This window comes from Homo sapiens, chromosome 18 (assembly GCF_000001405.40).
Source record: "Homo sapiens chromosome 18, GRCh38.p14 Primary Assembly".
Classification (NCBI taxonomy): Eukaryota; Metazoa; Chordata; class Mammalia; order Primates; family Hominidae; genus Homo; species Homo sapiens.
Genome location: NC_000018.10, coordinates 34,032,446 through 34,046,479, shown reverse-complemented (window position 1 = coordinate 34,046,479; position 14,034 = coordinate 34,032,446). Strand labels below are relative to the sequence as shown.

The window sequence follows — 14,034 nt, the reverse complement described above, 5'->3', positions numbered from 1 at the left end:
CCTGTCTTCTGTGCTTATGTCTTTTGAAAATATAGTGGTGGCTGACCTAGACACAAATGCTGGCTGTCAACTGAAGACTGGCAGGGATTTGTAATCTATCTTAGGCAAGTTTTGGTTTGGCCCCGTCTGCTCTTCTAAGGTATTGCTTGGTGAGGACCAGGTCATCCTCCATCGTCAGATTCTCTCTCGAAAGGCAATGCTTCAGGAATCTAGGAAAGAAGTTGATCTATTCTGAACTGGTCTCAGAGTTTGGAATGGCATTTGGAAAGTCCAGGAGTCATTTTAAGAGTAAAAATCTTCAGGTCGCCAAGGTCTTCTGAAAGCTCTGGGATTATTAGGTGATATGGAAATGGTCTGAATTTTTGCATGGGAAACCAGAGTACAGAAAAGGGCAAGAGGAAGGAATAGACAGGAAATTTACAACAGAAACCTCTGCTAGGGAACACTCAACAAACAAACACATGAAACATTAATATATATTTGCATAATGGTATAATGGTCTGTTACATAAACTAAGGAGAGTTTCTAAAACTGCCCATTGTGATTGATGGTTGATGTGTGTATTTTAAAATATATTGAAAATAAAAATGTTATTCAGCACAAGAGATAATACTATAATATGAACACGTTTTGTATTTGCTTTTAAAAATCAGATTAATGTTTGATTTGAGCATATTTGATTCAATACTATGATACATTGTTAAGCTAGAAGGGCCACTTTAGAGGACTGTTAAATAGCAACAATTTCTATTTTCTTTCTTAAATTTTGGGATTTATGCTGCCATGAAAATTTTTTATCTATATGCTATAAGTTTGACTTCATATGTCTCAGGAAAATTATGTCAGATGCTAAATTTATTTGTTTTCTTAAAGTTGCATGTAAGCAAATTGATAACATGGTGTGTGGGGATAGCCAGAGCAGTTGTTGAAATTAGACTGTAGAAAGAAAAGAATGTCAGACTGGAATATGTTCTTTCGATGACATATACTTTTGAGGGCAGATAGGGGTCAATGGGCATTTGTGAACCAGGAATGAGAAGTAGAAGCAGTGCTCTGTTAAGATATATTTATTCTTCAAATGTTGAGTAAGATGAATAAATGGTAGGGGTAATAACTGGGGAAGGCAATTAGGACTAAGAGCCTAAACTAGTATAGAAACACTAGAAATTAAGAATAGAAAATAAATGGGAAAGAAATCATAGGCCTATAATCTATGGAATTTCATTTATTAATTTATTCAACCAAGATTTATTTGACAGCCCAGGCTCACGGCAGGCAGTGGCTCATGCCTGTTAGCCCAGCACTTTGGGAACCTGTTGCAGAAGGATCACTTGAGGCCAGGAGTTCAAGACCAGCCTGGTCAACAGAGTGAGCCTCTGTCTCAAAAAAAATTAATATAAAATAAAAGATGATTAATTTGGCTTCATCCAAATAACAGATGAAAAGATAGATGATAAGAAGGACAGAGAAAAATACTAATGTTCAAGATTTCATAAAAACACTCAGTCTGGTGAGCATGACCAATGGAAAATTGTATTATTTTGTAGTGGGCAGTGTGATAAAGTAAGCACAGACTATAGTCTTGGCCCATGACTGGGCAGCATTAAAGAAAGAACCTTCAAGACTGAAAGTGCATGGGTGCCATTATAGACATAGGAAAGTCAATAGAAAGAGGGAGTTTTTGAAGAGAGTAGTGGCGGTAATGGGAGGCAGGAACGAATTTGATTTTAGACATCTTAAGTTTGATCTTTAAGTCTTTAAAAGCATATATTGCATTTAATTATAATAACTAACTTACTCATAATGTAGATCATTGACAAATGTCTGTTTTAAGTTATATTATTGCATAAAATTTCAAAGCATCTTTAGCATTCATTGGACTACTCTATATGTTGTTTCCTCTTTAATATTGGTATATAGCATTTAGAGTATATGAAAACTTGTCATGTATTTTTCATTTAAAGTATACAGCTTCTTAGTATAACAAAAAATTGTCTTTTATTACTGGAGTCTGACAGTTCTAAAATTTAATAACTTTTAATTTGGGAAGTTTTATACTTTTGATCTTGGCATTAATATATGATAAAAATAAATTTGAGGCAAAGGAAAAAAGTAAATATTCAGCTGAGTTTTGGGAAAAGCATTTTGTAGTAATTATCCAATTAGTTAAAGATAAAAGTATTTTATTTTCTTTTCATATGGATAATTGCTATAATTTTATATCATTGTGGTCCTGAAATGATCATAATTATAATAATTACAATAACAGCATCAACAATTAACAGTTGTTTGGTACTTTATAGTTTTTAATTGATGGAGAAATAAAACAATTCTAACAAAAGATCCCTCTGTACCTATTTAAAAGAAAGAGAAATAACACAATTTTTTATAGAGTTAAGTGACATAAACGTGACTATGAAGTCTGAACAGAATTTCATACACATACACAGTAAAGTGAGAAGAATGAGCAGTTACAATTTCTCTATCTTCTTGATAGATATGGATGGAACTCTTTTTATTTATCCCATGAGAGAGACCCCTAAGCTAATTCTGGAGGTATACATTTACAGTTTTAATGGTCAGAAGTCCCTAATCTTGAATTAGAAAGTCAAAAGGTTGGGCCTTTTATTCAGGCCTATATGTTTTCGAGATGGCACCCTAAAGAGGAAAACACACTGAAGAGGGTATTATGATGAAGAGGCAACTGCCTCCCTGATTCAAAGAAAACTTATCCCTTAACCCTTACACTGTGCACCCTTTAATTTACATTATCTCATTGGACTATCACAACACTGTAAGACACATATAATTACTATTATGTCCCAGATTTATGAGTGAGGAAACTGATGCTAAGAAAGATCAAGGAATATTTTTAAAGCGATATAACTAATAAAGAGAGGCTGATTCCAGCTCATTCTGCACCTCACATTGTCATTTCTTATGATGCATTGTAGAGAGTCATTCTTGTATCCTACAAGAATAGGTGAAGAAAAAATTATTTTTATTGTTTTTTCTTGGGTACCTATGTATAACTTTGATCTCTGTAAAAATAAGCAGATTATTGGTCATAGTCGGTTATCTCACAAAAATTCATCCTACTCTAGGAAGAGGAAAATTGTAAAGATGATTGGAGCTTTAATAGGAAAACTACTGTCTTAGGATGCAAAAGATTATCCATTCATCCATCTATACATGCATACATACATATTTGCATACATACATTAATTCATTTATTTGTCATTCATTCAATGAGCATTTAATAAACCCCCACTATGGATCTGCTTTTGCCAAAGCACACTGTATGTACATGAAGAAAATCATGCACACTGTAAGTACATGAAGAAAATCAGAGGCTTTCTCTCCCTTCAAATACTACCTTCCTTGATGTGGACCAGGTACTGGGCTAGCTACTCTGCAAACATGAACTCATTTATTTGTAACACATGTACTGTAATGTAAATCCTACAGCTACCCCTGTTCTCCTTATAAGGAAACTAAGGCTCAGAGAGATTACGTCCAAACCACACAGGTTGTGAATGACAGGACTAAGTTCTGATTATATGTTTTTCTGACTGCCAAGCTCATGGTCTTAACCTCAATGTGATTCGACCTATTTCCCAAGTGTGAAAAATGTCATGATGAAGATTAGTGCAAGATGTAGTACTGACAGAAAGGAGAATGTGAGGACAAGTTGGTAGTGATCGTCTGGGAAGGCTTTAGCACATGAGATTTCTCTTATTTGTAATATGGAGATAACTAGTTCATGGAATTGTTTGGGGAATTAAAGGAAATAACTAATATAAAGGAACTTGCTGCACCGGATGCTTAATAACTGAAAGCATCCACTCATTATCACTTATCTACCAATTTCAGTTTCAATTACTGGTCACATTTCTTTTTCTTGCCTTTCTTCCTTCTTTGATTGGTGTTTCAGAAGCATTTAGTCTATTAATATACATGCTACCTCTCCTACACTTTACTTAAACTTTTGGAATATGATTAAAGATCAACAGACAACTTGTCAACATTTGATCATTCATGTGAATCCACTGGGATTTGTAATTGGGATAGGAATCATGGACATATTCCTCTCAACTTTAGAAAATACCATCATGTTTTCTGGCACAGTTTTATTCTTTACTTGCAGATAGAAAGGGGTTTGGTGGGAGGGATGTCTTCAGAGTTTTTCATCTGGGAAAATGAGCCATCATTACTGGCTAGGGAGCTTGCCTCTTTGTGTATGTAGCCTTATTCAAATATTTGATTGAATGGGTTGCAGAGAAGTGTATGAAAATTAGAGTAAGGAAAAGGCAAAGTGTATAGTCAGCTCTTAAAAGAGTCAATGAGGTCAATATCTGAGCCCAAACATCAGAATTTACTAAAGTATATTCAGAACTTTGTATTTATAGAAAAAAGTCTTCATTTTTTGCTCCTGACTTCATGCCTATGTATAATTTTATATTGCTGCCTGAACCTATATTTTTGTAAATCACATGCATAACTTCATGCAACAGAAAACTGTTTAAAGATTATTATTTTGTGATAGAATAAATTATATCCCATACCTTTTAGTAAAATCTATCTATAGCAATTATAAACTGTAGCCCTGTATAATAAATATTAAGAACAATAATCAACATTACAATATGGCTAAATATGACTTGTAGAACAAACCCAAGGTGTATTTTAAAGGTAGAATAAGAAATTAACTTTGATTGATACTGTCTGTAACTTCCAACTTTGTTTAATATCGGTCACCCCAACTACTAAAAGGTTAAAATTTAAAAAGGAAGAAAAAAAAGAAAATCTATAATGCTTTTCTAATGCTTTGAAAGAAGTTTAGAAATTTAGAAAATCCCAGAAGCCAGGGCTTTGTTAAAGAATGCAGCAAATGTGAATTCACTTCCTAGAAATTGCTTTAAGCATGTAAGAAATTTAAGGGTGATAACGAAGTGGCTTTTTTTTTTCATTTTAGCTAATAAGGTCCCCATGGATAACTATTTCCCATATCAGGAAAGAGACATGTGCTTCCCTTAACACCTGCCACATAGAGGAGGATATTAAGGATTTTCTTTGCCTTTAGTTCTTTCCTCTGTTTGCCATTCTTCACAGTAGGGATTGGGGGTAAAGGCCCAAGAATGTGATTTTTTTCACTCAGTTTTTGTTACAATTGCTCAAGGCATTGTTCCCAAGTTCTTCTCTTAAGCTGAGAATTTTAACCTTTTACTTTAGCCTTGCTTCTTGTTGACCTCAAGACTTGATTTTCTTAGTGGCTCATCCTGTCTTCAAATTTATATCATAGTTTTTATCATCTCAAGAAAAGTAACAATGCTGGGACTAACATTATTAGTAACTCTCTTATTTTAAATATTTGGGTTCAGAGGAAATAGTAATTGAAAGCAAAATATGTGTTATTGGACCTGCAATAGAAAACTCAATTTATAATCTGGCAAATTTTTTCATTACGTTTTTTCATCCTAGAATATTTTTGATTATCAGACAAAATTATCTGGAGTGTTCCTTGCCAACTTAAATGTTCTCTGCACCCATTTCTAATATTTTGAAGAATAAACACTTCTTTTACTAATTTTACAATTAAAGGACGTGAATATAAAATATATTTCTGACCAAATTTATATGAACAATTTTCTCATGGGATTGCCCTGAATTCTGGGCTGTATCAATGTCACCAGAGCATATCACACATGGTTCTTTTCGTTGTTTATCCTCCGTGATACCTAAGTTAGAAACACAAGGAGATTCCATTAAATGATACAATTGACTCATTTTTCTTATCCCTGCAGCATAAGGCAGTGGAAAGTACACAGACTATGGCTTAACACACTATCTCTGTTCGTATCTCAGACTCACATTTCCACAATGGTTTGTGCACCCATGTACTAATGGGCTAAGAACCTCCACCTCGCATGTTGTTTTATTTCAAAGTTCAATTGATTAATAAAGTATATTAATAAAATATAGATTTGTTTTAAAAATACATATTCATGATTGAAGCATTTTTCCTCAGGAAAATAGCTTCAATCACTTCAAAATAGTTTCTATTTTGAAAATAGCTTCAATCACCTCAAAATAGCTTAATCCTCAAAATAGCTTCTATCAGCAATGTAAGATTAATAAAATATTACATATTCATGTGAAGTATATAGTCATGAAAAAATTCCAAAAAGTACCAAAATGTATAAAGAGAAAGGAAGGGTCCCCTATTCTTCACTCCCAATCTACTGTGCCCCCAACAATAATCTCCATTAACAGTTCGGTATGTACCTTTCCAAACGAGAGATAAATAGATCAATCGATCGTTTTTATTAAAAATATAGTCACCAAAATTTTGAATACAGATGCTTCTCAACTTACAATGTGATTGCATCCCAACAGACCTATTGTAAATTGAAAATATTCTAAATCAAAATGGGTTTGATATGCCCAAGGTACTTAACACCATATCTTAGCCTAGCCTACTTTAAAGATGCTCAGAATACTTACATTAGCCTACAGTTAGATGGAGTTATCTAACACAAAGCCTGTTTATAATAAAATGTTGAGTATCTCATGCAATTTATTGAATGCTGAGCTGAAAGTGAAAAACAGAATGGTTGTATGGGTGCTCAAAATGCTCTTTCAACTGAATGTGTCTTGCTTTCACACCATCATAAAGTCAAAAAATTGCTAAGTTGAACCATTGTAAGTCAGGAACCGTCTGTATATGTTTTTCCTTTATATCATGATTTTGAATCAGTTGTTGGAAAGAACATTTTGCCAATGTTTTGCTGATGTTTTCATTGTGTTTAAACTAGCTGTTACTACAAAAGAACTAACAATTTACAGGCTAAAGAAAAGTGGAATGGGATTGACCACACACTTATTTTTTTGGAACCATTCATTAATTGTGGCAAGGGTTTTGCTGAAATGACAAGTAAATGCACATCTTAACTTTATACAGAAATGGAGGCTAAGCCAAATAAAGACTTGCTCTTAAAATATTGGTCTGCAAATGTCTGCAGAGCTGAAATGTGTAAATTAGAGATTCATTGAAGTCTGCTAGCCAAAAGTGAAAATGAAAGTGCTTTCAGCTTGCTAATTAATGCTGCCTGTGGAATTTGCAGGGGAAAAAAAAAGCCACCCAGACCTATGAGCAAAAGTAGTGATCTGGTTGTCAAAAGAATTGTGTCTCATTCTATTATGCTATTATGCTACTCAATATGGAACCCTTAGTAATAAACCTGTCTTTTTTCCCCAATGTAACCACTTAAAATTAGGTGACATATTCTCTACTTTGTTATTGTGTGACAATAAGACGAGGGAAAAGAATATCCAAAATTGTTCAAATTCCAGAATAAGATATGATATAACTATAATATATAGCTGAGATTTTAATGTTCTGATGTCTATATTGTTTATATATTTTACATTTTGTTTCTTTTATTGATACATAATACTTCACATACTTATGTGATATTTGTATTTTTTACATGCATAGAATGTATAATGATCAAACCTGCTTATTTGGGGGCACCCATCACCTTGAGTATTTATCATTTCATCACCTTGAAAAGGGTAACATTTCAAGTTCTCTCTTCTAGCTATTTTGAAATATACAGTATACTGTTGCTGATCATAGTCACTTTAGGCTGTTATCAAACATTAGAACTTGTTTTTCTATCTAAACTGTAAGTTTATACCCACTCATCCACCTCTTTTCATTTCCCCTACTCATTCTAACACACTTACCCACCTCTGGTATCTATCATTCTGTTCTCTGTCACCATGATACTAAGTTTTTTAGCTCCTACATATGAGTGAGAACATGCGGTATTTATCTTATTATACCTGGGTTCTTTGACTTAACATAATGACCTCCAGTTCCACCCATGTTGCTGCAAATGACATGATTTCAATCTTTGTTATGGCCAAATCATATTCTACTATGTATATGTACCACATTTTCTTTGCCCATTTGTTTACTGATGGACACTTAAGCTGATTCCATATTTTTGCTATTTTGAATAGTGCTACAATAAACATGCTAGTGTAGGTATCCTCTTGATATACTGATTTCCTTTGGATGGATATCCAGTAGTAGGATTGCTGGATCATATGGTAGTTCTATTTTTAGTTTTTTGAGAAATCTCTATGCTGTTTTTCATAGTGCTTGTACTAATTTACATTCCCACCAACAATATGTAAGTGTTTGCTTTTCTCCACATCCTTGCCAACATTTCTTACATTTTATTTTTTATAATAGCCATTCTGACTGGGATAAGATGATCTCTCATTGTGGTTTTGATTTGCATTTCCCTGATGATTACTGATGTTGAGCATTTTTTCATATACCTATTAACCATTTGTATGTCTTCTTGTGGGAATTGTCTGTTTATGTCCTTTGCCGAATTTTTAAGACATTATTTGTTTTTTTATTGTTGAGTTGTTTGAGTTCTTTGAGTATTTTGGGTATTAGTCCCCACTGGATGAACAGTTTGCACATATTCTCTCCTATTCAACTGATTGTTTCTTCACTTTGTAGTTTGTTTCCTTTACTGTGTAGAGCTTTTTAGTTTAGTATAATCTTATTTGTCTTTTTGTTTTAGTTTCTATGCTATTGAAGTCTTAGCTGTGAAACCTTTGCCTAGACCAGTCTTGAAATGTTTTCCTTACAGTGGTTTTATAATTTTGGGTAAGTGTAAGTCTTTAATCCATCTTGAGTTGATTTTTATATACGGTGAGAAATATGGATCCAGTTTCATTTTTTGGCATATGAGTATTTAAATTTCCCTGTATGTGTATCGAAGAGGGTGTCCTTTCCCTAGTATATATTCTTTGTATCTTTGTCAAATTAGCTGGGTGTAAATATAAAGATTTATTTTGGGGTTCCCTATTCTGTTCCATTAGTCTATGTGTTTATTTTAATAACAATACCATGCTGTATTGGTTACTATTGCCTTGTAATATAATTTGAAGTCAGGTAGTATGATACCTCCAGCTTTGTTCTTTTTACTCAGGATTACTTTGGCTATTCTTCTCATTTTTGGTTCTATATGAACTTTAAGATTTTTTTATTTCTGTGAAAAATGACATTGTTATTTTGATAGGGATTGTGTTGAATTTGTATATTGCTTTGGGTAGTATGGTCATTTAACAACATTAATTCTTCCTTTTCATGAGCATGGGATATCTTTCTATTTGTTTGTGTCCTCCTGTGTTATTTTAATCAGTGTTTTGCAGTTTTCCTTGTAGAGACCTTTCACTTCCTTGGTTAAGTTTATTTCTTGGGATTTTTTGTAGCTATTGTAAGTGGAATTGCCTTCTTGATTTCACTTTCAGCTATTTCACTATGGTGTACAGAAATGGTACTGATTTTTTCTATGTTCATTTTGTATTCTGCAATTCTACTAAATTTGGTTATCAGATATAAGAGTTTTTTGGTGGAATCTTTGGTTTTGCTAGATATAGGATTATGTCATCTGCAAAGAGGGACAATTTTACCTTCTTTGTTTTTGCAACTGTGATGCTATTTATTTATTTATTTTTTTAAGATGGAGTCTCACTCTATTGCCCAGGCAGGAGTGCAGTGGCACAATCTTGGCTAACTGCAATCTCCACCTCTCGGGTTCAAGCGATTCTCCTGCCTCAGCCTCCTGTAATCCTGAGTAGCTGGGATTACAGGTGTTTGCCACCACACCCATCTAATTTTTCTATTTTTAGTAGAGACGGGGATTCACCATATTAGCCAGGCTAGTCTTGAACTCCTGACCTCAAGTGATTCACCCACCTCAGCCTCCCAAAGTGCTGGGATTACAGGCATGAGACACTGTGCTGGGCTGATGCCATTTATTTATTGCTATTGCCTCATTGCCTTGGCTAGAACTTCCAGAAATATGTTGAATAGGAATGATGAAAGTGAGCATCCTTGTCTTGTTTCATATCTTAAGGAAAAAGCTTTCAACCTTTCCCATTCAGTATGATGTTAACTGAGGGTTTGTTGTATACAGCTTTTATTGTGTTGAGGTATGGTCCTTCTATGCCTAATTGGTTGAAGCTTTTACATGAAGTGATGTTGAGTTTTATCAAATGCTTTTTCGGCATCTGTTGTTTTTTCCCTTCATTTTATTGATATGATGCATTTCCTTTTTACTGATTTGGGTACATGAAACCACCCTTGCATCCCTGGTATAAATCTCATCTGATCATGGTTTATTATCTTTTTGATATGCTGTTGCTTTCTGTTGATTAGTATTTTGCTGGGGATTTTTGTATCTCTGTTCATCATGAATATTGGCCTGTAGTTTCACTATTTGTCAAATCCTTGTCTGGTTTTGGTATCAGGGTAATATTGGCCTTATAGAATGAGTTAGGGAAAATTTCCTTCTCTTTGATTTTTTTGAAATAGCTTGAGGATTATTATTATTTCTTCTTTATATCTTTGGTGGAATTCATTAGTGAATTTATCTGGTCCTGGTCTTTGCTTTGTTGGAAGATTTTCATTACTGATTCAATCTCACTACTCATTACTGGTCTGTTCAGGTTTTCTATTTGTTTCTGATTCAATTTTAGTAGGATATATGTTTCCAGAAAATTATCCATTTCCTATAAGGTTTCTGGTTTGTTAGCATATAGTTGTTCATAATAGTCTCTGATGATCTTTTGTATCTCTGTTTTATCAGTTGAAATGTCTCCATTTTCATTTCTGATTTTTTTTAATTTGAGTCTTCTATCTTCTCTTCTTGGTTAGTCTAATAATTATTAGTTTTGTTTATTTTTTAAGAACTACCTTTTGGTTTTATTGTTTTTTGTATTGTTAGTCTCTATTTCATTTAGTTCTGCTTTAATCATTATTTTTTTTTCCTTTTGCTGTTTTTGGGCTTAGTTTATTCTTGCTTTTCCAGTTCCTTGAGGATCATCATTAGATTATTTGAAATCTACATTATTTGAAAGATTATTTGAAATCTTTCTACTTTTTAAATGTAGGCATTTATTGCTATAATATTCCCTCTTAGTACTGTTTTTGCTATGTACCATGAGTTTTGATATATTATATTCCTATTTTCATTTGTTTCAAAAAATTTTTAAATTTCCAGCTTAATTTCTTCATAACCCAGTGGTTGTTCAGGAGTATATTGTTTAATTTCCAACTATTTATAAGTTTCCAAAGTTTAACTTGGCGTTGATTTTTAGTTTTATTCCATTATGGTCTGAGAAATACTTGATATAATTTTTAATCTTTCAAATATTTTTAGACTTGCTTTGTGGCCTAACATATAGTAGGTCCTGGAGAATATTCTATGTGTTGATGAGAACACAGTGTATTCTGCAGTTGTTAAATAAAATGTAATGTTTTTTTAAATGTCTGTTAGGTTTATTTGGTCTAATGTGTAGTTTAATGTTTCCTTGTAGATCTTCTGTCTAGATGATCGGTGTAATGCTTAGAGTAGGGTGTTGAAGTCTCCCACTATTCTTGTTTTAGAGTCTATTGCCATCTTTAGACATCTTTAGATCTAGTAATATTTGCTTTATGAATCTGGGTGCTCCAGTGTTGGGTGCCTATATATTTAGAATGTTTATATCCTCTAGCTGTTTTATTGTTTTATCATTACATAATGACCTTCTTTGTCCTTTTTTTTTCCATTTTAGTGTTTTTGACTTGAAGTACATTTTATCTGATGTAAATATAGCTATTCCTGCTCACTTTGGGATTGTTTATTGTTGCTTTTTTGGGGGGTGGGGTGGGGCAGGGTCTTACTCTGTGGCACAGGCTGGAGTACAGTGGCGCAATCTCCACTCACTGTGACCTCCACCTCCCGAAGTTCAAGTGATTCTCATGCCCCAGCCTCCTGAGTAGCTGGGACTATCGGTGTGCACCACTATGCCCAGCTGATTTTTGTATTTTTAGTGGAGACAGGGTTTTGCTGTGTTGGCCAGGCTGGTCTCGAACTCCTGGCCTCAAGTGATCCACCCGACTTGGCCTCCCAAAGTGCTGGGATGACAGGCATGAGCCACCGTGTCTGGCTTCCCTTTTGGTTTTCTTGTGTGGAATATCTTTCTCCATCTCTGCACTTTCATTCTATAATGAGTCTTTAGAGGTAAAGTTTATTTTTTGTGAGCAGTTTGTAGTTGGATTATTTTAAAAATTCACTCAGCAAGTCGATATCTTTTAGGAGGAGAATCTAATTCATTTACATTCAAGCTTGTTACTGATGTGTGAGATTTTGTTCCTGTCATGCTGTTATTTTCTGGTTTAGTATATTCTTTGTTCCTTTATTTTTTCCTTATTGTCTGTCATTTTGGTTTGGTGGTTTTCTGTAGTGTTATCATTGAGTCCTTTCTCTTCCTCATTTGTCTGTTTGCTTTACCAGTGAGTATTAGTTACAACGTGTTTTCATGATGGTAAATGCTGTCCTTTCGCTTTTGGGTTGAAGACTGCCTTGAGCATTTCTCGTAGGGAGAGTCTAGTGCTAATGAATTTCCTTTGCTTTCAATTGTCTGGGAAAAATTTTATTTCTCCTTCATTTATGAGGGTTAATTTTGCTGGGTATAGTATCCTTCGTGATTTTTTTTTTCTTTTTAGCACTTTGAATATGTCATCCTATTCTCTACTGGCCCATAAGATTTCTGCTGAGAATTCTATTAGTCTAATGGAGTGTTCCTTTATAGGTGACTACATGCTTTTCTCTTGCTCTTTTTAGAATTCCCTATTTATCTTTGACTTAAGCTGGTTTGACTATAATGTGCCATGAAGATCTTGTTGCATTTTATCTGTTTGGGGATCTCAGAACCTCCTATATCTGAATGTCTAAATTTCTTCCTAAATTGGGGAGTTTTCATTTATTATCTATTTAATAAGTTATAGAATGCTTCAATTTTCTCTTTGCTTTATGGGACTCCCATAATTTTAATATTTGATTGCTTTATGGGTTTATCATATGTCACAAAAACTTTGCTCATTCTTTTTATTCTCTTTATTTTTTTCTGACAAGGTTATTTTGAAAGACCTGTCTTCAAGTTCTGAGATTTTTTTCTTCTGCTTGATCTAGTTTATTGCTGAAGCTTTCAAATGTATTTTTAACTTTATTCAAATAATTATTCAGTTCTAAAACTCTGGTATTTTAAAATAATATCTATCTGTTAAATTTTCATTCATGTCCTGAATTGTTTTTTCTGATTTCTTTAAATTGTTTTTCAGATTTCTATTGTAACTCACTGAGTTTCTTAAGAATCAATAATTTAGTTTCTTATTCTGGGATTTCATGAATTTCTTTTTGATTGGGATCTATTGCTGGAAAATTATGGCCCTTTAAAGGTGTCATACGTTTTTGCTTTTTCATGTTTCCTGTGCCTTTACATTGATATCTCTGCATCTGGTATATAGTTATTTTTTCCAAATTTCTGAATTTGCTTTCATCAGGGAGGACTTTTTCCTGAATATGTACCTATGGTGTTGGTTGAGCAGGGCACTTTGGCTTTGATTTTAGATGTGTGCGGTAGTGTAGTCTTTGTAAAACTTCTTTGACTGTAAACATCATCAGTAGTATCTGTGATTTTCCCAGTGGCTTAGGGTGCAATTGTTATTGGAGGCTGTGATGAAGTTTTTCTGTGGGCTAGGATGTCAGGAAGGCCAGTCTTTAGGCCCCAGTGATGGCAGCAATGGGCTGGGATGCCTGTCCTTGGGTCCCAGAGTGGTGTACCCTGGTGTTTGTTGGTTCAGGTAAACCTATTCTTGAGCCTCCAGGTGGCTTACTCCAATTCTGGTAGGCAGCAGTGGGCCAGGTGGGTGGGTTCTCAGGTCCCTGGACAGCTAGAATGGCATGGGTGAAGGTAACAGGACAACTATCTGGATCCCACGTGGTGAGTGCTTATATTGGCAGTGGGACTGTGATGAGCCGAGTGGGCCAGTCTCAATGCTCACAGGTGCTATGTGCAGATAGATGCCAGCTGTGGTGGTAGCTGGGTGGGTAGTCCCAACCTCAGGCCCCAGGAGGAGTGTTCATGTGCAGTGGTGGTGGACTGGGCTAAGCAATCTTT

General features: G+C 34.3%; 1 protein-coding gene across 33 annotated transcripts in view, besides 1 other annotated feature; it reads left to right on the top strand.

Annotated features, from left to right (window-relative positions):
* NOL4 (nucleolar protein 4) overlaps positions 1-14,034 on the top strand; it is a 373,814-nt gene that overhangs the window by 178,434 nt on the left and 181,346 nt on the right. The gene's annotated exons all lie outside the window — the stretch shown is intronic.
* Positions 12,234-12,303: a silencer, noted in NCBI's record as "silent region_9392". NCBI's record gives its function as "represses an Ori minimal core promoter by ATAC-STARR-seq in GM12878 lymphoblastoid cells {active_cell/tissue: GM12878}" and the evidence as "EXISTENCE:reporter gene assay evidence [ECO:0000049][PMID:35858748]".